Source organism: Homo sapiens, chromosome 10 (assembly GCF_000001405.40).
Source record: "Homo sapiens chromosome 10, GRCh38.p14 Primary Assembly".
NCBI classification, from domain to species: domain Eukaryota; kingdom Metazoa; phylum Chordata; class Mammalia; order Primates; family Hominidae; genus Homo; species Homo sapiens.
Genome location: NC_000010.11, coordinates 4,663,197 through 4,689,931, shown reverse-complemented (window position 1 = coordinate 4,689,931; position 26,735 = coordinate 4,663,197). Strand labels below are relative to the sequence as shown.

The 26,735-nt window shown below is 36.3% G+C and overlaps 2 long non-coding RNA genes across 5 annotated transcripts in view, besides 5 other annotated features; one reads left to right on the top strand and one right to left on the bottom strand.

The window, feature by feature from the left end:
- Positions 1-622: 622 nt before the first annotated feature.
- On the bottom strand, positions 623-18,401 carry LOC105376373 (uncharacterized). Of its 4 annotated transcripts, XR_001747338.2 has the most exons (4): positions 18,273-18,401; positions 13,113-13,267; positions 10,357-10,529; positions 623-685 (listed from the first exon to the last, which is right to left on the bottom strand). It is a non-coding gene; the product is annotated as an uncharacterized LOC105376373 (long non-coding RNA). The 4 variants fall into 4 exon arrangements; XR_930595.2 differs by lacking the exon at positions 623-685 and having other exon boundaries at positions 10,226-10,529; XR_007062036.1 differs by lacking the exons at positions 623-685; positions 10,357-10,529 and having other exon boundaries at positions 12,969-13,267.
- The window catches only part of MANCR (mitotically associated long non coding RNA), a 27,886-nt gene continuing 13,012 nt past the window's right edge, over positions 11,862-26,735 (top strand). Inside the window, exon 1 of the long non-coding RNA NR_024475.1 lies at positions 11,862-11,883. This is a non-coding gene — a long non-coding RNA (mitotically associated long non coding RNA). The remainder of the gene's footprint in view (positions 11,884-26,735) is intronic.
- Positions 26,046-26,735: part of a biological region, named in NCBI's record as "CDK7 strongly-dependent group 2 enhancer GRCh37_chr10:4704879-4706078", that runs on past the window's edge.
- Positions 26,046-26,735: part of an enhancer, noted in NCBI's record as "CDK7 strongly-dependent group 2 enhancer chr10:4704879-4706078 (GRCh37/hg19 assembly coordinates)", that runs on past the window's edge. NCBI's record gives its function as "activates an origin of replication core promoter dependent on BRD2, BRD4, P300/CBP, MED14 and CDK7 cofactors, with strong dependence on CDK7, by STARR-seq in HCT116 cells {active_cell/tissue: HCT116}" and the evidence as "EXISTENCE:reporter gene assay evidence [ECO:0000049][PMID:35650434]".
- Positions 26,461-26,735: part of an enhancer, noted in NCBI's record as "tiled region #14147; HepG2 Activating non-DNase unmatched - State 5:Enh, and K562 Activating DNase unmatched - State 5:Enh", that runs on past the window's edge. NCBI's record gives its function as "activates a minimal TATA promoter and a strong SV40 promoter by Sharpr-MPRA in HepG2 and K562 cells {active_cell/tissue: HepG2 | K562}" and the evidence as "EXISTENCE:reporter gene assay evidence [ECO:0000049][PMID:27701403]".
- Positions 26,481-26,735: part of an enhancer, noted in NCBI's record as "tiled region #4530; HepG2 Activating DNase unmatched - State 5:Enh, and K562 Activating DNase matched - State 5:Enh", that runs on past the window's edge. NCBI's record gives its function as "activates a minimal TATA promoter and a strong SV40 promoter by Sharpr-MPRA in HepG2 and K562 cells {active_cell/tissue: HepG2 | K562}" and the evidence as "EXISTENCE:reporter gene assay evidence [ECO:0000049][PMID:27701403]".
- Positions 26,629-26,735: part of an enhancer, noted in NCBI's record as "H3K27ac-H3K4me1 hESC enhancer chr10:4704513-4705495 (GRCh37/hg19 assembly coordinates)", that runs on past the window's edge. NCBI's record gives its function as "activates a minimal SCP1, AML or CMV promoter by ChIP-STARR-seq in primed H9 embryonic stem cells {active_cell/tissue: H9 hESC(primed)}" and the evidence as "EXISTENCE:reporter gene assay evidence [ECO:0000049][PMID:30033119]".

Genomic DNA, 26,735 nt, shown 5'->3' with positions numbered 1-26,735 from the left:
CATCAAATTCTTTCTCACTGTGTTTCAAATTCAAGTCACAGAGTCATTCAAACAAAATGGAACAAAAATAGAAACAGATTGGCTCAAGTCAGTGAGGGTCCTGGGCTGGGTACTCCCAGCCTAGTCAGTCTGGTGGCCCAGGCAGAGCCTGTAAGACCGTGTCGGGTCCAGTGCTTTTGACGCTTTATCCTGCAGACCGTTCCCCACATCACAGCAGACATCCCCTGAAGCTCCACACTCCCCTAACCTTTGCACTCACGTTCTCAGAGGAGGCTTATGCTCTGTTTTGCAGCGCCCATATTAAACCTCAGATATATTGTTTTCTAAAGTCATGCTTTTGTGTCCAGACCAGGAAAAGAAAAACTCATTGCCAGTCTGTGCCATGTCCACCCTGTGTTCAGTGACATTGAGATGCACTAGACCAGGCAAGAAGAGTTCTCAGCAGGAAGGCAAGGAAGGCTAATATCCCCCTGAAAGAATAAAGAGGAGGAATGCTGTGCAGGATAAAACAGATTATGAAACTTTAAAGGTGAAATGATTTTTACAAATACTCTATTTTAAGTATCTCATGTTATAGATGAGAAAACCGAGGTACCTGGAAGATTATTTGACTTTCCACAGTTGTGTTGTAAGCAGTGACCCCCGCAAGAAGAGAGTACTTCCTTCTGGTTGCTCCTTCTGAAACCTTGCAAAAATTTTTGAAGATAATATATATGGGACATGTTAAGGAGAAAGTTATTTGCTTTATTTATCTATTTGATTTATACTTAGGTTTTTCTATGGGATGCTTCCTTGTATCTCCAGTATTCACCTCAGCCCAAGCTTACATCTACATGAGTGTGTGCATTATATGTATTGCATATTGTGTAGCAGGTTCACGGTGCCTGCTTACCCACTTACCTGAGTCCCATAAGACAGAACACACTCACACACAGCATGTTGCATGAAGTAGGTTTCACTCACAGATAGGCAGCAAGGGACAACAGAGGCCTAGGATTTACAGTAAGCCAGTCTTCCAAGGCTCAAGAAAGCTGCCGAGGGAGATAAGAGTCTCATCTGAAACTACCCCACTCTCACTACTGCTGAAAGCAGCTTTGTCTTAGGTTTTATACTCTAGGGTCATGTGATTATCTCAGCTACAGTGCTGAAAGATTTCCTGTTTTAAGGGGGAACTAGAACAGAGCCCAGGCTATTGCTGCCAGCCAGGGATGTTGTATTCCCAGCACATTCTACAGTTATTCTTGAGACCTATAAGTGAGAAAGGAGGGAGAAATTCCTGCATATGTGTGTGTGTGTGTGTGTATGTGTGTGTGTGTGTATGCATGTAAATGAGAGAGATAGATCAATCCACATGGTGATTCATTTATTTAATGCCATGAAAGATAAAGCAATTATAACATTTGCATCTAGAACTTAAAATTAACGGCCCTTGCCATTGAATAGATTACTTTTCTCTCTAAATTACTTTCTAGCAGTATTTACACACCTACAGAAACATCTCTCAGAATAGAAGAAAGCATTCAACCAGATCCTTATCACAAACTCTAATCCCTTCCAGCTGCTTATAGTAAGACACAAATATGTATCATCCACATGGACCCACCGATGTGTATTGAAGATCCACATACACAGTTAGAGGAAACATTCAATTTTCCATATGCCTTCTATCTTCCCCGTTTCTGATCCACAGGCCTTGTGGATTGACAGAGACATATAATACAATATGCATTTGGCCTTGTAATCTTTCTAAAAAAGCCTGGAGTCACTGAGCTCAAGGAATGAGTTGGAAGGACAACTTCATTAAACTGAAACGCTGAACAAACACCAACGAAATAAACCAGAAGAATTTCAAATAACTGGACCTTTTCCCTGAGCCATCCCTGACCCTTTCAATACCAGGTCCCAAATGAAGAAGTAAATAAACAGCACTTTGAGGTAAATGTCAGCACCTTATTGCAGAAACTTCTATTGCAGGACGTACCTTCCAGATGTCTAATAAAAATTATAGCAACCCCAAGCATCACCTGATCTTATTGTCACAACTTTGAAAATTTTTAGAGTATTTATACTCAACAGTACAAATGTGTGTGAGCATAAACACATGGACACATATATAAATAACTTTGTATATGTATATATGGCAAAAGGTGTAAATATGTGATATATCCAAACCCACTTGTACTCTTTGGAGAACTCAGTAGTAGACAGCAAAGTCGTGATGCCTTCAAGATTCAGCAGGTCCTGTGATTCCACAGGAAACCAGCCAGTCCGGCAGTTGACAGGCACTGGATTCCTGCTGCAGTGGCCGGGTGGGGAGAATTACCTACAACATTAAGGATCCAAGTGGAAAGAACTAGCAGCCAGCCTGACTGCATCTTGTCCTAATCAAAAGCATGTGAGGTTTTTCACATCTCCATTTGTCTCTTGTTTAACATATGATTTGGACATTTTGGGGAAGAAATCTAATTTCAAAATTGTGTACATATGTTTATTGAGAACTCTCATGCTGTTGGAAAGCACATCACTTTGAATGACATCTATCTTGTGCACTACCTACTGGGAGGCTCAGCAATCTTTTTTTTCTGTAATCATTTTCTTTCAGCAGAAAATATTATACTGTTTCTGAATAACTAGCAGTTACATACTATATAAACTGTGCACTATATATACTATGTGCTCTCTAAACCAACTATGTCATAAATGTTGGTACTGCATATTTATGTCAAATTAATGTGGTTTACTGAATTTTTCTATTCCCTGCCTAGGGTAAAACCCAAAATATATAAATATTTCTCCCTAAGTTTTCCCTCTCTGCATAAGCTCCAGATAAACTGTAAAATTGTTTTCTTTATTTTAGCATATTTCAAGTTCATGTGTAAAGACATATACCTGAGGTCTTGGCTTATCCTATCTAAATCTCTCACAACTTTCAGAGTAAAAACTTTGATAATTCCCTACCAATCATTACCCAAGAATAAAACTAAAAATAACTTGAAGCGATTTATCATGTATCTGAGTTTCAATACCAGACACAATGCTCACCAGACTGAGAGAAGTTGCAATGAAATTCCACTGTGATGAGCACGTAGTTCAGGTGGGAGGATGCAAAGCAACCACACACTACGGTCTTTGTTCCTTCTCAACTTTAATACGTGATTCAATCTTTCCACAGCCTGGGAAATTCACCTAACTAAACCTAATGAAGAAAACCTATGTTGTTGGTAACCAAATACTGAGTTGGAGATCAGAGCTCAGATTCCTGCTCTAAGTTATCAGCAAAAGCAGTAAGTTACACATCATTCCATTCCTACATGTATTTATAATTTTTTTCTACTTTTATCTATCAATCAATCAACAGCTATTTTAATCTATTCTGTGAAAGACCCTGTGCTCATCCACCTAGCAGATACAGAGAAGCATAGAAAGAAGCCTTGCTGTCATGGAATTTATGAACTAGATAAGAAGATACAGTAACAGCCCCAGTCCCGTGTCAACATCTGTAAATGTCCTTCCAAGTGCTTCTGCAGTCAGTACACACAAGCTATCCTACACGTAGCTTCTATAGTATAATTACAAGCTAGTGTAAAGCTATATGTAATTTATAAATACAAAATAAAAGATGCAATTAATGTTGTATGATCTCAGAGTTGTGAGTAATGTTTAAATTAACGCATGTAGGAGGTCAGACATAAATTAGGCTCTGCGGAATGTGTGGGGCTGATTTAAAGGTAAATGCCCCTGAAGTGTCCTCTCATGTCACTGCTGACTCTGCAACATCATTCCCCATAGGAATTTACATTTCTAGAGCTCACTTTTGGGTTGTTTCCAAAACAGCTTGTTTCAGGAAAGTGAATTGGAATAATCATGGTTGGTTTTCAGTTGTGTGCAACAAATCGGTTTTCATCTGATGACCCTTTGTACTCTTCCTATGACCCTACACAACTACACAGCTTGATTATTCAGTTAAAGAAAGAAGGCTGAGTGAGCAAAGAGAGGCCACAGGGTCCTAGTTCATAAAACTTTGCAGGGACAAGAAAGTGAATTGCAATGTTTACTAGATAGACATGTGTCCAGCAAAATTCATCAAACTCCCTAAGAGGAGTTATTGTAGGAACTACAGGGCAGCCTTGCCGTGGCTCACAAGGCCCTGCCCTCAGACCCTCCTTCCAACACTTCCAAAGTAGTCCAGCCTCAGAGCCTTTGTGCTTGCAGTTTCCTCCACCTAGAACACTCTTCCCCAAGATATCATCTGTTCTCATTTCCTCATTTCCTTCACTTTGGCTAAAACGTCACCTCTGCAGTTAAGACTTGTTTTACGTCCATCTTAAAAATAGCCAAGGGCACAGCTGTTTTCCTCATCAATCACTGGCCTCACTTTATTTTTCTTCATTGCATATATTGAATCATGACTTCTACTTTTTAATCTGATGTTTATATATCTACTCCTCTCTGTCCCCACCATCTGCCCCCACACACATACCATGAAGCCATGGAAGTTAGGTATTCTGTTTTCCATTGCTCTTTCCCTAAAACCTAAAATATTGACTGGCACCTACTGGGGTCTTGAAAGTACCTGTTAAATGAATGCATTACAAGCTAGTAGGAATCACAAAACAGTCCATTTTGGGGTGTGTGATATTTCCAAAGCATTGAAACATTCCAGATCAGAAACCAGAAAACTGCGCAAATGCTGCTATTGTCACTTGCAAGTGTCTCTTTCATGGAGAGACACTTAATCTGTGAAAAGCTCACCAAATCCAACCCTCTGGATACTTCAATCGATTTATTGTGTTGTGTATGTTGTTCTCAGCGATGCTGCACTGAATACTGGCATGCCCCAGAAAGAACATGAAGTCATCTAGACACAGATTGTTGTTATTGTTGTTGTTAACTACATGGAGATGACTTGGAAATTGGATTGATCTATTACTTATATCAAAACAGGGGCTGTTTGCTAATGCTGCCCCTGCTCTTCAGGGCTGCTCTGGTGTCCCTGAGGCTTACTAAATCTCCTTGCATGCTTTGCATTTTTGGCCCTTCCTTCCAGTTGCCTTGACCATCAGAGGTTATTCTTCCAATGAAAGATCACTTGATAGAGATACCTATAAAATGTTTTCCTCTTGCTACAAAGAGTCACAGCTGGCTTTGTCTCCCAATCCCTGCTGGTATTTTTCCATTCTTTTTAAATAGAACTATAAAGAATACCTAGCATTTCTACTGATGCTATTGTTTACATTAAAAGAAATTAGAATGTCTAAATGGAATGCCAGAGACTCCTTCAAGTAAAATTATATTATTGTATTCATGTATTCATTCATTCACTCAACAAACACTGATTGTGTCACTGGCATGAGTCACATGGTATGGTAAGTGCTCATGCTTGAAGATGGATTAAGATGCAATCTCTATTGTAAAACAAACTATTGTCTGAATGGGAGTGGGGCTATGGTAGCCCAATTTTTTCTTTTTTGCAATGATCCAGGTAGAAGAGTCCTGGAGACAGAGTAGTCATTAAGTCAGCCCTCTCTTCTCTTCTTGAAAGCCCCTCAACCAAGTAGGTAGTACTCTCATGTAGCCACTTGGTGACGTTTGATCTGATTTGTGTCCCTTTTTTTGCCCCTTTTCAGTACTGGCCCATACTCCTTCAAAGTCACCCAGACCCTCCTTTCAGCCATCTGTTAAGGTTACAAAGCAATTCAATCACTCCTTCATGTAGTGACTGTCAAAGATGGTTGTGTTACATGTCATAAATTTAACCATTATTAAGGACTCCCAAAGTGCTGTGCTGAGCCTCAACCAGGTACTTTTAGTGATGCAAACTTGGAGGCTCCTGGAAGACAGTCAATAAAATAATTTTAGATGAGGGGAGACTCATTCTAAACATGATTCATCCCTCAGTACCACGGTGGTAATCTGCCTTTAGGAATCAAGTAATGTCTCATTGAAATTTGAGGACAACGCCGGGATCATTGGCTTATGCCTGTAATCCCAGCACTTTGGGAGGTCGACGCTGGCTGATCGCTTGTGCGCAGGAGTTCAAGACCAACCAGGGTAACATGGTGAATCCCGTCTCTACAGAAAATACAAAAATTAGCCAGTCATGGTAGCATGCACTTGCAGTCCTAGCTACTCAGGGACTGAGGAGGGAGGAGCACTTGAGCCCAAGAAGTTGAGCCTGCAGTGAGCCATGATCATGTCACTGAACTCCAGCCTGGTGAACAGAGCAAGAGTCTGTCTTAAAAACAAAAAAGAAATAAAAGAAAGAAAAAGAAAATTGAGGTTAAATGAATACTATATTGATCCCAATAGTTATTCTTAAAGGTACTGTCTTTCAATATCCTCACCCATCTAATCCATAATGTTTTCTCCTCTCTTTCAAGCATCATTTAAAGTATTTCTTCAGTTTCCAGGGGGCAAAAAGATTACTGAGACTGCTCTGAAGTCCAATAATCATAAACAAAAATACAAGAGTGGCATCACTGCTAGGCAAAATTTATATCCAATAAGGAGACTCAGGCTTTCACAAAAGACAAATTCATGGCTTCCTGTTTTCAAAAAGGGAAGTGAGTAGGTAACTTTCTCTACAGGTGTGTGTCCAGCTGGACTTGAGAGAAGTGTAGCAACCAGGCAAGGGCCAGGGGATGGGGTAGAAACAGAAAGCCCCATTGTCTTCACCTTTGCCACCTCTTCTAATTGAGATCTAAAAATTCTTCTTTTCTCTCATTCACTTCTGGTAAAAAATCCACGTGCACCAGGAAGGCATGACACGTTGATGGAAGTAGCTCTTCATACTTCAGTGTGAATTTAAAAAGCTGATTAAAAATTTAACAAAAGGAAAGAATAAGTAGGGAAGTGCTGGTCATTTGACAGGAGGATACTCCCTGGTAAAAAAGAAGCTTATGGGTATAATAATAAGTGGCATTCACGACAAAACACACAGGGAAGTTGCTTAAGAGCCACCTAGCTCATTTGAACAACAACTCAAAGATCATATTAAATGGTAAGCAGAAGACATTTAATTCCTTACTCGAACAAAAGCTAACATGGCCCATATTTATTTACATGCTTGTACTGCATTTCCAAAATGATAAAAATATTCCCCTTTTGTTGTCAAGATATGAGTGCTTGCATTCAAAACAGGCTTAATGCCTATCAGTCCATTGAAGCTCATTAGCCAAGAGATGATTACTACCTTAACACGAACGATGTATATCTTAGCATGCTTTATTCAGCTAAAAGGAGTTTTAATCCTCATGCATTCTGACTATGATCTGATAAAAGTTTAATGATACATTAGAGCAGATGCTTTAGATTTATTTCTATGAATACCAAAGCAAGCCTTGGTTGAAATAATCTAGCCATTATCTTTTTGGGTCTTACATAGTTTTCCATGACTTATGTTATTATTTCTGTGTTTTTGCAGTTATCAGCAGAAAGTAGTTCCCATAGCTTTAGAATTGGTTATTTGTGTTTGTTGTTGGCCTTAAAATACTGTATTAATTCACATAGGGACACAGACAGATGTATGTTTGGATGTTGAGCTGTAATTTTTCATGAGCTGTTACAATAGAGTCTCATGGCTTCCGCTCGAACTTCATTTCCCTCTTCACAGTTAAAGTGAATATAAAACAAACACAAATGCTTATGTGCAGCAATTTTCTCCCACAAATAGGTCTGCAGTTATCTCATCAGGAAGATATATTGTATTTAAGCCTTTATTTGCCCTCTTTCACACCCAGTCAAGGTGGCTTAGGGAGTATCATTTTATCAAGTAGAATTAGAAGCACTTGGTAAGTTGCTCATCTTATGTATAAACCTGAAATTAACCTGTCGAATAGAAAATAATGAGAAACTGATTCAGTTCATCTGATGCTTATTTCTTGTGACTAACCTATCATTTAAAAGAACTAGTAAAACAGACATTTTTGGCCTGAGTTAGCTATATATTTACAATGGTTTTCTATTTCTTTTTGCACTTAAATATTTAGTTCCCTTACCTTTAAAATAGAATGTATTTTAAGAAATATTCTGGGAATGAAATGTAGAAATAACATATTATATACACTTCTGTACTTCTGCTGAAGTTTATAATATTCTGCTTCTTAAATACGGTTTATTATTTTATAATGTTGTTATTTTCACATGTATATTTTACGTGTATATCATGATAGTGTTTTGTGGATAAAAGCCAACATTGCATTCATTTGGGATCCTTCTATCACAAATAGCACAGCACATAATCAGTATATAGTAAATATATAAATAAAATTTATAAAAAATATATTATCCTGTGTAAATATTATATGCTAGGTTCTGAATAAATAAAAAATACAATATTCAAACTGAAAACTGAATGATGACATTCATTAACTGTCTTGCTTTTGAATCCATAAACAAACAATTTATCTGAAGACGTTAGGTGATGGCCGGCCCTAGGGCCGTGACTTGCAGAGTGTCCTTCTTTGAGAGACTTTCTCATTGGAAGCCCAAAACACTGTCCAGGGAAATCAGAGGCCACACCCAGGTCCTCAGAGGCAGACATAATGATCTCTCTGTTAACTATGCATTATAGCCATTGTACCTACTCCTAATATTTTTGTGAAATTTATTTGAATGATCGATGAACCTTTCAGCAAAACCCAAAGAAAAGAGAGAATTCAATTTCTAAAGGAAAATCATACAAGAGAAAATAATTTAGAAATATTTAACAAGATGTATTTACCTGACTCTTAAACTCAGACCTGAAAAGAAGAAACACTCAGGTTTTTTAGTTCAGATGCTTTGGGGGAGCACATACACTAAAAAGTCACATACTGTTTTGAGATAACTTTGATCTCATCAGAAAAACATTTGGTGCCGGGAGCGGTGGCTCACGCCTGTAATCCCAGCACTTTGGGAGGCCGAGGCGGGCGGATCACAAGGTCATGAGATCGAGACCATCCTGGCTAACACGGTGAAACTCCGTCTTTACTAAAAATACAAAAAATTAGCCGGGCGTGATGGCGGGAGCCTGTAGTCCCAGCTGCTCCGGAGGCTGAGGCAGGAGAATGGTGTGAACCCGGGAGGCGGAGCTTGCAGTGAGCCGAGATAGCGCCACTGCACTCCAGCCTGGGTGACAGAGCGAGACTCGGTCTCAAAAAAAAAAAAAAAACCTTTGGGAGAACGTAGCTTCTTCTTGTTCATAGGCTTGTTCAAAAGCTTTTGCTAATGATAAGTGAAAAGCAGTATACTTGATTATTATTTAAACCTCTAGCATGCCTTAAGACAAAATTAGCAATGGGGTAGTGAGGTTGTGAAGTGGCAATGGAGGTGATGCTGGTAGAAGAAGTAAAGGAGAGGAACGAGAGGAAGAGAAATGGTTAATGTGTAATGAGCACATATTTTCTGATGGTCATTGTCGTGCTAATTTAGTCCTCCCTGCCATCCTGTGCGATAGGTTCTTACTTTTGTTATCTTCAATTAATGGATGAGGAAGCAAAGTTTGCAGCAGTGACCAAGTCACTTAACTCAGGTCATTTAGCTTGTTCTCTCTCGCCCGGGGTCCTGGCTCTCCAACCTAAAGCATAGGCCCCATGTACACAGGCTTTTGCATTTTCCAGCGTCTCTCATTTTCCAAGCTGGTTTTTATATTTAAAATGTTATGCCAAAATAATTTTCAGTGATGTAAATGCCTCTCAACAGTGCTGTCTTCCCTGAGGTTACTTTTAACCCAGAGAAATAAAATTCTAATGATCACATTTGTGTCAAGGCTCTGGGAAGATTATCTGCTCAGAAGAACTTTCTAAGGATTTGTACCTTTGTATTCCAGAAGCAGCTGCCCAATTTTGTCTATTCGTTGGCTCTTAGAATATTTCGTCTATTCTTTGGCTATCAGAGAATACTAAGCAAGGAAACAAGCAAAAAATAAACCAACAGGAATTTTGCTGTCTTATTATGTCCTAGTTTCTTAACTGTTTCTGTCTACTTCCCTCCCCACCATATTTCTTTTCATATGTAAGTTTTTAAATATTTGATGATGGTGATGGCGCTACTGAAGTGAAAGATTTATGTATCACTTTTATAGTCCAAAGCAATGCAATTTTCTTGTGATAAGTTAAAATATTAAAGTTAACCATATTTAATTTTAGCCATCAATCTTTCCCTACTCCTGTTTTCAGGATTTTTTCTTTTTTGCAAGAAAAAATGAAATTTACTAGTAAACATTGTTAAAAAATTTTTAGGCAAATTAAATTAATAGAGTTTAATTGAGCAAAGAACAAATTGCTGATTGGGGCAGCCTCCCGAGGCAGGGTAGGTTCAAAGACTCCAGCACAGCCACGTGATGGAAGAAGATTTATGAACAGAAAAAGGACTTACAGAAAATGGACGAGAGGTGCAGAAACACCTAGATTGCTTACAGCTCTGCGTTTGCCTTATTTAAACATGGTTTGAACAGCCGGCCGCCTGTGATTGGCTGAAACTCCATGATTGGCACAAGAGTAGGTAGGTCACAGTCTGTTTACACGTCCAGTGAGGTTACAGTTCATTACCTACAGAGAAACGTTTAGACTGAACTTAAAATATGTAAGGAGGCAGCTCTAGGCTAAACTTGATTTAGCAATATAATCTACTAATTCTTTTTGTAATAAAATTATTTAATTTTCAGGTGATAAGATGAAGTATCAGTCATTGAGATGTTTCATACCCAGTAGAATCTGGGGTGGATATTTGCTTTTGTGAATGGCCTTCACATTAGGAAGTGCATTTAGGAAAATCGGGTATTGCATTTTCATGGTTATTTGAGCTCAAAGATTTTATTCCTTTATTGGCCAGATCATTTGGTACAAAGATCAACTAGAAAGAAAGTTTCATGTATTGAGTTTTTGGGAAGGGCTGTTTTAAATACTGTTAAGACGACTGATTTATCTTTCTTTACTTAGTAGGGGGAGGTAGGAGGGGCATACCAGAATTCAGAAGTGCGACCACCATAACCACTTCACTTTTCAATTTATTTTTCAGTTCTAGGATATATAAGCAGACAAGGAGGGTCTCTAGGAACCATAGGAGTTTAATCCACGTGAGCCATCAGCCTGATTTACAGCTTCCTGCCCTGCAGCCTGTTCTTCCCTAAACCCTGGGTGGACTATAGTAACCTAGTTGGTTGAAACCAGCTCCTGACAGACCCTGGCAACTTAGAGATGAACCCTGGTGAATCTTCCTCATGACTGTAACGTCTCCATCCTGGAGGAACTGTAGTTCCGTTATCATAACATGTAACCCATGTGTTGCCATGATGACACTGTGTCTGCACCGCTGGGACCCCTCATCTACATGCGATAATGCACCCTCTCCCCTCTCCATCACCCCATAAAACCCTCCTGCCACTTTCCCTCAGGGAGACACTGCTTTGGAGAATACACCCAGTGCTCCCCTTACTTGAGCCAAGTAATAAAACTCCTATTGATCAAAATCTGCATTCTCGTGGAGAGTCGTTTGTTGCTTGACAGGTGAATGAACGCTGTTTGTTTTTTTCGGATAACAAATATGAGGTATTAAACAAACAAACAAAAAACCCCAGACTTGAAGCTTTCCCATAATAACAACAAAGAGTTTGAGTAAGAATTCCACAGCTTGCCTTCATCTGTGGCAGACTTGCATGAATCATTTTCAAATAAAGATAATAACTCAGTTGGTCTTGTAGTCCAAACAAAATGTGCTACTTCAGGAACATTCACTTCCTATGTGGACTTTGCTGCTGAGTCAGTGTGAGACCTTGAACAAGTCTCTGTTTGTTTCGTACCATTCAGATTTCCTCGTCTGTAAACATTAAGTATCTACATTCACTAAAAGTAGTTCTGAATGAATGTTATTTAATGGTGCCAATGATGTTGGAGGATACCTGTGGTAAGTGGTTTAATTTATTTTTGCAAGTTGGTATAATATCCATACTATATTGACCTTAAAATAGATGGACAATGTGGATATGTGGATGTTTTTGTTATTGAGAAGGGGGTTGACTGAGAGTAAAGGACAGTTTGATTTGTTTTTCTACATTAGTCCTATTCATCTGGCAAATGTGAAATCTCCATTTCGTCATTCATGTTCCTAAGGTGGGTACTAGATATAGTTACATTTTCTTGCCAAAGTAAAACTTGCATCATATACTTAGGAACGTGTGGAGCACTTCTCAGAGCTGTGCTTAATCTCAGGTGCCCAGAAATGTTGAAACTTGTTTACAGAACTTTGGACTCATCTCTGATTTATTAACTCAAGTTATTCCCTGGACCTATAATTAACATCTCACCAGCCTGATATTTTCCTCAACCACTTAACACAAAAGAATGATTATGGAGCTTCACATGCAACATTATCCCTTAAAATTGACTCTAAACAAGGATTTAAAATAAGGTTGTTTCCATGTGCACAGGTGATCAAATCATTGTGTGATAAAACGATAGATTTTTTTATGATGTGTTTTCATATCTCTGTGACCTTTTTTGTTAGAGAGGTGATACCATTGAGTCCCGGGAGACTTAGGCTAACTCTTAATATACAAAAGGATAAATACTTTCTTCTTCAAATAATTCCAAGCTCGTTTTACTCCTTTAAAATAATTTTTAGATATACTTGTCAAATTCTGTGAAATATTCATGTATGAATTTTGATTGAAACTTCATTAATGATGTATTTATCCATTTCTTTTTCTTTTTAACTTAAAATTTATATTTGTTTATATAAAATTTCTGAACATATTATTTTTAAAAACTAGTTATAACTACTTTAGAATTTTTGGTAGCTATTATGGGAAGTTTCTTTGTATTATTACTTTATTATTGTTACATTATATAATTGTTTTTATTGGAAAATAATGATATTTATTTGTATATTGATCTGGCACCATAAAGCTTTCTGACTTTTTGTTTTAGTTGCTTATTTACATATTATCTTAAAAGTTCTATGAGTATGGTCATATGAGCCAACAATAATGATTTTACTAATACCAATTCCTGTATTAGTTTCCTAGGCTGTTGTAACAAAGTGCCTTGACTGAGTGGTTTTGAAACAAAGAGAGCTTATTCCTTCATGGTTCTGGAAGTCTGAAGTCTGAAATCCAGGTGAAAGTAGGGCCGCACCCTCTCCAAAGCTCCAGGGAAGAATCCTTCCTCTCCTTTAGTTTTCTCAGTGGCCCACAGTACTTGGCGCCCTGTGGTTTTGCGGCAGCAGGTCCACCTCTGCCTCTGTCTCCACATGGCTGTCTTCCCTATGTGTCCATGTCCAAATTTCCCTCCTATGAGGAAACCACAGATACCATGTATTAGATTATAGATCCCTCTAATCCATGATTACCTCATCATTAAATCTGCAAAAAATCCCATTTCCAAATAAGGTCACATTCACAGGTTCCAGTTGAACAGGCATTTTTAGGGGGCTGAAGGGTGGCACTAATTAACCCAGTAAACTCCACCAGCTGGCACCCCAAATTCATGTTCTCCCGTGTGCAAAATACATTTACCCATGTCCCCCAAATTCTTAACCCATTTAAGCGTTAACTCTAAAAAATGTCACATTAATATCAACTCAAAAAGTTACAAATCTCATCATTGAAATGATCTAAATTAGGTATGGGTGAGACTCTTAGTTTTCATCCATACTGGGGCAAAGTCCCTTCATCCACAGAACTGTAAAACTAGAAAACAAATTATCTGCTTCCAAAACACAATGGTGGAACGTATGAGGTTGTCTCTATTTTGCCTTCATATTCTGAAGAATACATTTGTTGGATGTAGAATTGTGGGTTGGCAGTTTCTTTCCTTGCATTACCTTATAATATTTTTCAACTGTCTTCTCACATCTAAAATTTCTGACAAGAAAAAGATATTTGAAACATTTTTTGCATGTATGTAATATGCCATTTTTGTCTGGCTTGTGAAAACATTCTTTCTTTGGCTTTAAATACTTTGACTATTACATACTTGCTCATTTTAATGATGTTTGCTCACACTTGGAATTTACTGAGCTTCTATAATCTGTAAATTTATCTTTTACCTAATTGAAAAAGTTCAGTTTTTTTTTTTCAATAATTGTGTGTCTGTATGTCCCATTTTCTTTCTCTTCTGCTGTGGAACTGCAGTTACATGGATATTGGAACTTCAGAGATTATTTCACAGGTCCATGAAGCTTTGTTCACTTTGCTTATCAATCTTGGTATTGTTCAGATTTTAAAAAGTTCTGTTGATCTCTCTGACCCCTTTCTTTGTCAATTCTATTATTCTGTGAAGCCCAATTAGTGTGTGCTTACTGCATACATTGTATTTTTCCCTTCTTGCATTTCTTGTTTGTTTTGTTTTGTTTGTTTGTTTTTGTTTGAGACAGCATCTCACTCTGTCACCCAGACTGGATTGCAGTGGTGCAATCTTGGCTCACTGCAGCCTCCACCTCCCAGGTTCAAGCGATTTACCTGCCTCAGCCTCCCAAGTAGCTGGGATTACAGGTGCATGCCATCACACCCAGCTATTTTTGTATTTTTTGTAGAGATGGGGTTTCACAATGTTGGCCAGGCTGGTCTCGAACTGTTGACCTCAGGTGATTAGCCCACCTCAGCCTCCCAAAGTGATGGGATTACAGGTGTGAGCCACTGCACCTGGCTGATTCTTGCATTTCTGTTTGAGACTTTTTCCTAGTTTCTATTTGCTGATGAAACTATTTGTATTTTGATTATTAAGAGCATATTTCTTTTTACACTACTGAGTGTAGTTAAAATAGTTAAAATAATATCCTATGTGCTTATTTCAACATATGTTCATTTGGGTATTGTTTTCCATAGGTTGTCTTTTCTCTTGAGAATGAATGAAATATCCATTCTTTCTTCACCTATTGACTGGATTTGTATTGTTTCTTGAATACTCTGAAGATGTAGAGACTGAATCCTGTTATAATCCTTAATAGAGTATTGATTTTCTAAATTTTAGCGGACAATTATTTTAGACTCATGAACATTGTGTTTTGAACACAGCTCAAAATTCATTCCAAAGTGCTTTGATCCTGCCTTGTGTATGCATGGTTTAAGGTTGGTTAGTTAATTGGCTGAAATTTGTGCATGGGATCTGGGCTCCCCGTCTCTGGCCATCTCCTTTCTGGAATATCTCCCTCACTTTCTGGTGGAAATGATTATTTCAAACTCTGTTCTCCAGTTCTTTAGAACAGAAAAAGTATGGGTTTTCTATCAAGGATTTACTTATTAATGCTGACTGCAATCTGCATTGAGGCTAAAATAATTGAGAACACAGGAAAATTACCCCATGCCATTCTTTCTTCCAAATTGATTCCCTCCTATAATCTTTCAGCCTCTGCTCAATCTGCACTGCCTCCAGGCTACTATTCAAAAAATTTATCCAGGTTTCGAGTGGTTATTTGTGGGGAAATTGGCCTGGCAGGAGCATCTTTGGCCATGCCTGAAGTGGAACACATACAAAATGCTTTTTTGCATTGTCTTTGGCTGAAGCCACTAATATTTCAACTTCCCAAAATATGTCTCTTCTTCATGTATTAACTTGGGATTTTCACAATTCTTTTATAATATTAATTTGGACTACAAATTTGTGCGAAGATCGAAGTAGAATTTAATTTGTTGTAAAAAGCATTTTCTCCCCCAACTGAGTCCCATTCAGATGGCTACTTCACTTGGAGTATTTTTGTCCCTATATGGGGGCATTTTCTCTTATTATTAATAGTAGCTTTTCAATAGTCCCCAGATTTTGCAAGTATCTACTTGAAATTCAAGTATAAGCTTAAGACAGTAACTAGTCTCTTATCTCCTCTTCTCTTATGGGTATTTAAACCTCAACCATTTCACATTCTTCTTTTCATGCTGAGAAAATTATCTTACACCCAGTAAATATGCAGAATCTTTAAAGGACTGAAAAAAATAGGGAAATGTTTAACGTAGTTATCAAGGTAGGTACCTCACACAAGAAACTGCTTGATGATGAACATTTAAGTTTCAAAGCAGGAAAGATAGCCCTTGTGATGAAGGCGATTAGAACGTGATACAAATGACTCTTAGTTTTTCAGTGGACCAGAGCAACAGTTACTGGTTAGTTCAACAGGTGAGACTCAGTCACAAAGAGTTTACGGATCTCGCTGAAAATAATGAAGACAGGTACCATGGCAGAATCACTACCCTATACACAACTGACTCTCTGAGATGAGTGCCTAAACCACATGGCAACCAAATAGGTATTATAATTAGTTTGTGAGAAAGTGGTAATAGTACTTGTTGCAAATCTTGATGTTGTTTTATTAAACAAAACTAAAATATAATTTTATTTAATATTAAAATAATGTTGCAAATATCAATTGATGTAAAATTTATTTGCAGAATCAAAATTCCTATAAGGAAGTATTATAACACTAGGAAGAAAATTATTTTAAGACAGTGACTCATGAAAAAGTGTTATGTGCTATCTGCGAAAATATGCCAATACTCTCTTGGCTGAGAATACGCCAAGAAGATCTTTGTAGTTTTGAACATTATCTTTATTACTTGATTAGCCACTTTTGGAACTGTAAAATGTAATTTAAATGGCTAAAAAATGAATACATTAAGACAATAAGCACTTTAGGCATTTATTATGAACCTGCTATATTTTTATGAAAATGCCTATCAGCTTATTATTTCTTTCAAACTCTAGTCAATACCAAATCTCATTTTTGATTTATGTTTTCCTAATAATGAATTCTTTATTGAATTTAGTTACATGACACTGAGAACAAAGATTTTGCCTCTGGCTGTTATCTAAGCAAGGAAGCTCAAAAAACATTATCTACATACTCTTAATTAGAGAAATCCCTTAAAATATTTTAAACTTCGTGAAAATTCAGACAGTCAGGAGATGCATTTATTATTAAGATTATTTTCAAAACCAAAGCCTTATTAATAAAAAATGAAATGAACAACGTGACTTTTGAAGTTTCAGTCTGTCCACAGCTAGCTGTATAACTTTGGGAATCTTATTTAAGATCTCCATTTCCTAATTAGTAAACTAGGAATTCTATTAACGTCTTCAAAAAATTGTTGTGAGGAATATATAATATATGCATAAAATGTGGACACAGTATTTGGGCCATGATAGTAAGTGTTCAAGAAAAATTTTTTTATAAACTTTCTTCCCTATATTCACAATTTGTATTGTAATTTTAAATATATTTTTTAGAGTAAACCATGACATTTTATTATACATTTGTTTTCACTTTAAATGGATCTTAGCTACAAGGTTGTTTGAACAATATAGTCTATTCTAATCCATCAAAATAAAAGACTAACAAAATAGAAATTCGAAATCTCATAGTGAAGTACACTAGCAATGAATTCAAAGATATAAAGAGAAATCTCTTGTGAGAAATAATAAATCCAAGTCACGTTGGCTTAAGTGATTTCTGGAAATAGAAGAGAATAGGCCACTCTTATTTGCCTGGTATTCCTGGGGGATAAATTGTGCCTTTACAATGAAACTAGTGGTGGCTTGCCCTGCCTGTCCTCAATAGTATAATGTCAGTGACTGCCAAGAATGCAGCTTTCCCAGGATCAAGAATGGAGCCTGCTTCTTTACCATGTTTCCAGAATGATATGCATGTTGCTTAGCCAAATAATTAAATACTTCACATTTTAAGACTTGTTGTTTTCTCTGATTATGATAAAAACAAAATAAAGAAAATATTTGTTAGTCTGAAAAGATATGGTAATGGGATGTCAGGGGAAACGACAGAGTAAGGATCTCTGAAGTTTTTCCAATCTATAAAAACAATGAGAATGCTTTCAAAAATGAGCAGAATCAATCCTTTCAGGACTTGGGAAATTAACCAAAGGCTTGTAACAATTCAGCAGGTTTATTCAAAAAAACTAGTTTAATCTTGGTAAGAGCAGCACATTTTATTGAGTGTTAACATTGCTTTTCTTTTCTCCTCATTTCCACCCCCACCGGGGATGACAGCCCTAAAACTCGCACACAGTAGTAGGAAAACCAGCAGCCTGCCAGCCACTGGGGGCCAAAACAAGTTTGGGGCTTCATCAAAACCCAATTCCAATAGGATCGTCACTATTTTAATTGTCTGATGGTTCCTGGAAGACCCTACTCACAAGGCTTGCCTTTATTTGACCTGACTCAGAGCTTACTCAGAGCAACGGTCTTTCTGCAGGGCATGTATTGAAAGTAGTTAGGAAAATAGAAAGTCACATATATGCATACAGCTGTGGACGTGCTCAGAAATCATCTGAAATGGCCATAAGCTCTCACCTCTGGCTCACCTTTCGGCGCTGCTCAAGCAAAAAGTGAAGGATAAGGCAGAATTACCAAGTGCCTGGTGGAGTCCTGAAGGCATGCCTGAACTCATATGCAGAACCCATCAGCGAAGGCTAGAAGACTGATTGCTTCCAGGCATTTACGGAAATGTCTTTTGAATCATTAGGTGACCACAAAGCTAAGCAAGCAGAGACTTCAGTGATACGTGTGACAAAGAACAGAGACTTTATAGAACTGGTTCGGAAAATTAATTAATAAGAAACAGCAAGAGAAACAAGCAGTGGCAGCAACAAACACCAGAAAGGGAGAGTATCTGATGTCCAGTGTTTACACATTATATTATTAAAAATTTCCATTTTCAAAAAACACTTTAAGTCAACTATTATATACATGCTTAAACTGGGTTGAAGACCCCCAAATCCATGCCCACTCATAAACTCAGAATGTGAGCTTATGTTAAAATAGGGCCTTTAACTATATAATTAGTTAAAATTAGATCATACTGGACTAAAGTGGTTCCTAATCCAATATGACTGGTTTTCTTATAAGCAGAGGGAAATTTAGGCACAGATACATATAGAGAGAGCACCAAATGAACACAAGAGTAAAGGCAGAGGCATACAATTACAAGCCAAGGAATGAAAAGGATTGTCAACAACCACAAGAAGTTGGAAGACAGGCATGGAATATAAATTCCTCTAGAGCCTTCAAGGGGAGCATCACCCTGATGACACCTTGATTTTGGAATTTTAGCTCCCAGAACTGTGAGATAATAAGTTTCTATTGTTTTGAGCTATTTAGAGTGTGGTAGTTTATTAAGCAATCCTAGGAAGCTAGTACAATTCACAAAGACCTAAACACAATCACATCTATAATTAAAATATGAGACTATTTCACCAAATAAAGACAATCAATAAAGAAATAGAAGTTATATTTAAAAACCAAATACAAATTCTATAGTTTAAAATTGCATTAGCTAAAATAAAAAAAATCAACAGGAGGTTTGAGCAGGCATATAAAAGAAATTAGCAAGCTAGCATATAAATCAACTGAGATTATCCAGTGTAAGGAGCAGAAGGAAAAATGAATGAAGAAAAATGGAACTATCCACAGAAACCTATGGAACATTAATAAGCACAGCATTATACACAAAATGGAATTCCAAGAAATAAAGAAGAGAAAGGGAAAGAAAGAATATTTAAAGACACAGCGACCCCAAAAGTAACAAATATAGTTAAAAAATTACACATCCAAAAAGCTAAAAAGATTATAAATAAATGCATACATCTATGCATAGAAACATTATAATCAAATTGTTGAAAGCCAAAACTAATAGAGAATCTTCAAAACAGCATGAGAAAAATGATCCATTATGAATGAAAAAAATCTAAACAAAATTTAGAAATGACTTATTTTCAGATGCAAAGAGGCTGGAAAACAAGATGGAGACATAATCAAAGAGCAGAAAGAAGATACTTTCAACCAAGAATTCTGTATCCATCAAAAGCTACCCTTCAAAATTAAAAGAGAAGTTGAGATTTCTCAGAAAAACAACTAAAATAATTTGTCACTAGAAGATCTGCCTTATAAGAAATAATAAAGGCTGAGTGCAGTGGCTCATGCCTGTAATCCCAGCACTTTGGGAGACTAAGGAGGGAGGAGTGCTTGACCCTAGTACTTTGATACCAGCCTTAGCAACATGGCAAACCCTTGTCTCTACAAAAACTTTTTAAAAAATTAGTGAGGTGTGGCGGCACACCACTTTAGTCCCAGCTACTCAGGAGGCTGAGATGAGAGGATCACTTAAGCCCAGGAGGTCGAGGCTGCAGTGAGCTGAGATTGCATCACTGCATTCCAGCCTGGGCAACAGAGTGAGACCCTGTCTCCACAACAACAACAACAACAAACAAACAAACAAAAAACTGAAGGTAGTTCTCTAGGTTGGAATGACAAGACACTAGTTAGTAATTCTAATCCACAAAACTAAATGCAGTAAATAAAGAGCACAGGTAAATATAATTAAATAGGTAAATATAAAGGACAGTATAAATGCATTCTTGTTTGCAACTAGTGTAACTATTATTCTTCTGTATGATTTATAAGACAACTACATAAAACTAATTATTAATCTGTTTGACATGCATGCATAAAGATGTAATTTGACAATAGCTCAAAAGAGAAGTCAGAGAAGAAGCTTACAGTAGTAAAACTTATTTTATTATTGAAACTAAATTAGTGTTAATCCTGACTAGCTTGTCATAATTTAAGATATTAATTGTGATCTTCAGGTAAACAACTAAGGAAACTTTTCTAAATATTAAAAAATGACAAGAGAATTAACATAGTATATTTGAAAAATGATTTAATTTAAAAAGAAGGCAGTAATAGAGAAATAGCAGAAAGCATAAGCCATAAGATTTTTAGAAAACAAATAGCGAAATGGTAGATGTGAGTGCTATATTAAGAGTAATTACATTAAATGTAAATGAATTAATAGTCCAGTAAAAAGTCAAAGATTGGCAGAATAGATTTTAAAAAGTGATCTATGCTGTCTGTAAGATGCAGACATTAGATGGAAAGACAGTTGTTGTAAAGAAATGATAAAAAATGATAGAACAGGCAAGCAGTCGAAAAAGGAGAGCCGAAGTGGTCATGCCAATATCCAACAAAATACTTTAAAGTAAAAATTGTTACTGCAGAAGAGTATTTTATAATAGAAAATGGTCAATTCATCAAGAAGATATAAAAATTAAAAACATATATGCACCTAACAACAGAGCCCTAAAATACATATAGAAAAAAATAATAGAATTGAAAGCAAGAAGAAACAACTTGACAATAAATTACCAATTTCAATATCCATCTTTCAATAATATATAGAACATTTAAACAGCAGATCTGCCAGGAAATAGAAGACTTAAAGATAATATAAACTAATTAGACCTGAAACGTATGTATAGTACTCTCCATTCAATGACAGAAGAATACACATTCACCTAAAGTGCGCATGAAACATTTTCCAGAATTGACTATAAGATTATAAATTATAAAACAATGATGAAACAAAACTATTTTTAAGTTAAAAGTATTAAAATCATGTAAATTTGTTCTTTCACCACAATGGAATGTAATTTGAAATCAGTAATAAAAGAAGGAGAAGGTCACAAATATTTAAAAATTAAACAACATACTCCTAAATAAACAAGAGATTAAAGAAGAAATTACAAGGCCAATCAGTACTCTGAGGTACATGAATTCAAAACTACATCAACTCTTACGGAATACAAGTAAAGCAGGGCTTATAGGGAAATTTATAGCTGTAAATGCCTATATTAAAAAATAAGATTAAAAATATCAATAACCTAACCTTCTACCTTAAGAAACTAGAAAAAATATTAAGCTAAACAAAAGCTAGGAAAGAAAATATTAAAATTATAGTAGAACTAAATGAAATAAAGACTATAAAATCAAAAGAGAAAATCAACAAAACTGAAAGTTATTTCTTTGTGATAAGATCAATAAAATTGACAACCTATAGCTAGATTGACTGCATTGGAATGAATAGTTGTGCCCCACACTCCCAAAATCATATGCTAGAATTCTACCCCTCAAAGTGGTAGTATGAGGAGATGAAGTATTTGAAAGGTAATTATGTCATGAGGGTGGAGCCTTCATGAATGGCATTAGAGCCCTTATAAAAAAGGAATCTTAAAAAATCTTGTCCTTTTTCCACTATGTGAAGAAACAATGAGAAGACAGCAATCTGCAACCCAGAAGAGGGCCCTCACCAGAACCCAACCCAGCTGACATCCTAGTCTTTAACTTCCAGCCTCTAAAACTGTGAGAGATAAATCTTTGCTATTTATGAGCCGCCCACAATGACTAAGAAATTAACTAAGAAAAAAGAGAAAATACTTGAATTAATATTATACAGGGTGAGATAGAAGACATTACTATAGAACTTGTCAATATAAAAAGAATGATAAGAAACGTCTACTAACAAGTGTATGCCAAGAAAAAATGAATAATCTAGAAAAAATAGACAAATTATTTGAAAGATATACAACATCAAAACTTACACAAAAAATCCTCAGAATAGAATTGTCACAAGAAAAGAGATTGAACTTATTATTTTAAACCTTTCCCCAAAATATGCCATACCTCTGTGGCTTTACTGGTGAATTATACCAGACATTTAGTGAAGAACTAACAGTACATACTCACAAACTCTTCCAAAAAAGTGGAAGAAAACAAAGCACTTCCCAGCTCATTCTATGAGACAAATATTTCCCTGATACCAAAACTAGAAAAAATATTATAAGAAAAGATCTATAGATAAATATTCCTTATGAATATTGATAAAAATCCTCAATAAAACACCAGCAAACTGAATCTAGCAACACATCAAATAGATGTATAGACCATGATTAAGTAAGATTTAATCCAGGAATGCAAGGTTGGTGTACCACATGAGTATCAATCAGTGTAATACATCATGTTAACATAACAAGCAACAAAATACATTTATCACCTCAGTAGACACAGAAAAAATAAAATTTTCATAACTAAACACTCAACAAACTAAGGCTGTAAAGAAACTTCTTCAACCTGATAAAGAGTATTTCTAAAGAAACATTCAATTAGCATCACAGTTAATAATAAATGATTGAAAGCTTCCCCTCTAGGATCAAGGAAAAGGACCATGATGCTCCCTGACAATACATCTATTTAACATTGTACTGGAGGTTCTGGCCAGGGCAATTCATCAAGGAAAGTATATGGACCACATCCAGACAACAGTCTCTATTGCACATGACATAATATTTTGTATTTTAAAACTTAAGGAAATCTCAGAGTATGCATAAAAATAATACTACAGCAAATAGATGAGTTTAGCAAGGTTGCATAATGTAAGATTAATATATACAAATCAGCTGAATATATACAGAAGCGAAGAACAATTTTAAAATGAAATTAAGGAAACAATTCAATTTTTAATTCCATCAAAAATGATAAATACTTAGAAATACACTTAACAAAAGAAATATAAAACTTACTCACCAAAACAATAAAACATCATTGAAAAAATTATGTTTTATCTTTGAAACAAAGAATATACTGCTAAACAGTATATAAAGATAACTTGTGTTCATGTGTTGGAGGAAAATATTGACAAGATGCTTTGCTACCCAAATTTTTGAACATATTTAATATAATCTCTGTCAGTATCTTAGCAGGCTTTTATTGCAGAAATTAAAAAGCTGATCCTAAATTTATATGGAAATACAAGGGATCTACAACAGTCAAAACAATCTTGAAAAGAACAAAGCAGGACTCCATCTTTCTGATTTTAAAACTCTCAAAGCCACAGTAATCAAGAATGTGTGGTACTGGTATAAGGATAGACATAGAAATCAATGACCTAGAACTGAGAGTTTAAAACCATTGCATATAAGATAAGCCAGTTTTTATAAGGGCACTAAGACAATTCAGTGGGGGAAAGAACAATCTTTTCAACAAATGGTAATGGCACAAGTGGATATTCATAGGAAAAAGAATGAAGGTGGATTCCTACCTCATATAATTAACTCAAAATATATGTGTTAAAATGATAAAACTCTTACAAAAAAAGAGATATAAATATTTCTGGCCTTGGAATAGGCACTTTTAAAAAATAATGTAATGCCTAAAGCACAAGCAAGAAAAGGAAAAATAGATAAATTAAACGTCATAAAAATTAAAATGTCTGTGCATCAAATGACACTATTAAGAGTGAAAATACAATTCATAGAATATGAGAAAACATTTGGATATCATATATGTGATAAGGGACTTGCATTCAAGACGTATAAAGAATATTTATAAGCTCACAAGAAATACACAAATGATAAAAATAAATAATTTTAATAGACATTTATCTAAGGAAGATAATGTGAATGGCTATCAAACATGAAATAGGAAAAGATGTTCAACGTCATTAGTCGTTGTCAAAATCTCAATAAGATACCACTTCATACCCACTAGGGCAGCTATAATAAAAAAGACTTGCAATAACAAGTATTTGAGATGAGGTGAAGAAATTGGAACCCTCCTAATTGTTAGTTACAATGCAAAATGGTGCAGCTACTGCAGAAATCAGTCTGACAGTTAAATGATTAAACTAGTTACTATATGACCTGGCAATTCCACTTCTAGATACACACCCTAGAGAAATAAAAACATATGTCCAAACAAAAACTTGTACATCAAAGTTCATAGCAGCATTTTTTTTTTTTTTTGGTCAGAATGTGGAAACCAAAAACAAATATAGCCAAAATGTGGAAACAACCAAATGTCCATTTAAGAGAGAGTGAATGGGTAAATAAAGTGTTGCATAGCCCTACAATGAAATATTATCCAGCCACACAATAAGTGAAGTTCTGGTACATGGTAACATGTGGCTGAATCTTAAAAACATTATCGAAGATAAGGAAGCTAGAAATCTTAATATAAAAAATATAAAATGTCCAGAAATAGTATATCCATAGAGACAAAAACTAGATTAGTGTTTGCCAGGGCTGAGGGAAGAGGAGAAGTTACTGCTAGTATGGAATTTCTTTTTGTTGTGTGAATACATTTGGGAATTATATAGTAGTGATGAATGTGCAACTTTGTGAATACATGAAAACCACTGAAGTGTACACTTTAAAATGGTTCATTTCATAGTATGTTTTTATCTGTATTAAAAAACAGGCCAGGCATGGTGGCTCATACCTATAATCTCAGCACTTTGGGAGGCCAAGGTGGGTGGATCACTTGAGGTCAGGAATTTGGGACCAGCCTGGCCAACATGGGGAAACCCCATCATATCTAAAAATTAAAAAAAAAAATTAGCTGGGCGTGATGGCACACACCTGCAATCCCAGCTACCTGGGAGGCTGAGGCAGGAGAATTAGCTGGGCCTGGTGGCGGGCGCCTGTAATCCTAGCTACTAGGTAGGCTGAGGCAGGAGATTAGCTTGAACCTGGGAGACAGAGGTTGCAATGAGCCGAGATGGCAGCACTGCACTCCAGCCTGGGCAACAGAGCGATTCTCTGTTTCAATAAACAAACAAACAAAAAACAGTATGTGACAAAAATATAGCCGTGGAATGAGGAAACAAACTTTTATCATTTATAGCTAGAAATGGACATGTCTAGATATAGAAATTATTTTTCAGATGAGCAATGCAAGCATTCACTTCTTATATTTCAAAGACCCTCAGCTTTGCCACAAAATCCACAAGGGCATATATTATACAATTGTTTAACAGATGTTGATTTAGTGAAGTCAATGAGTCTTTAATGTCCATTTATTTATGTAGTAATGGTTGAGTTCCACCTAATGACTCTAGATTTAGTTATAACAGGATTTCACATATTTGGGCAATTCTTTATATATTTTTCACATTACTTTATATCATCCTTTCAATAACATTTCAGTTAGACTTGGGCATTTTTGTTCCCATTTTATGTATGGAGAACCTAAAGAAATGAGAACTTCAGGGTTTTATTCAAGATTGTGTAATAAATGATGGAGGCCCTACCAGTCCCAAACCCTCATTCTTAAATTACCTCCAAATACATCAAAGGGAGAACCCACACAAAGACAAATATCCACGTTAAACATTTCATGAGAACGCTTTTTCCTGCTAGCTTAAAAAAATCAAGCTGATATGTAGTTTCATGGTAGTGAATGAAACGCTCCTTAGACTTTATTTTTAAAGCCATTCTTCTTTGAATGGTTTGAAGAACCTGCAGTAACGCTCAGCTCTGCCTTGTGAAACAGAATGTTCATATCATCTTGTTACTCTTTAAAAAGACATTTTGGCTCTGAATAGTTCACAGATTAAAATAGGTTAACACGCAGGACGTTAATCTCTGTTTATAGAAAATACCGAGACAGATGGAGAAGTAATTATGAATAAAAATAGATCTGTTTCTCAAACAGATTCCTGTACAGAGGCATTTAAACATCAAAGAAACTGAAGGCAGGGGCAGGGTGAAACCTAGCCCGTTGCTTTGACACACCGTCCTGGAGTGACAAATAGGATATTGACAGGGGAATCTGTTTAAGCCTGGAGCCATAGCTAAGCTGGACTTCCAGTAGCTTCTATTATAAGTAGCTTTTTCTGTGCCACCTAGATTTATTTGGCTGTGCCACTGTAATTTTGGACTGGAACTGAATGAACACAGTGTTGGTCTGAATACTGCTGATCCTCTGCCTATAATAGGATCAACTGACATTACCCAGGTTGCTGAGGCATGTGAAGTGCCTCTGTAACCAAACTCCACCCTTGAGTCAGAGCCTGGTAATCCCTGGAGACTAACAGACATCCACGTGTTCTGCATGATTCATGCAACTGCTATCTGCAGACAGTTGCTGGGTGAAACGCCCTGTTAAGTGTTTACTCATTATGGCTACTTTGCCCAACTACCC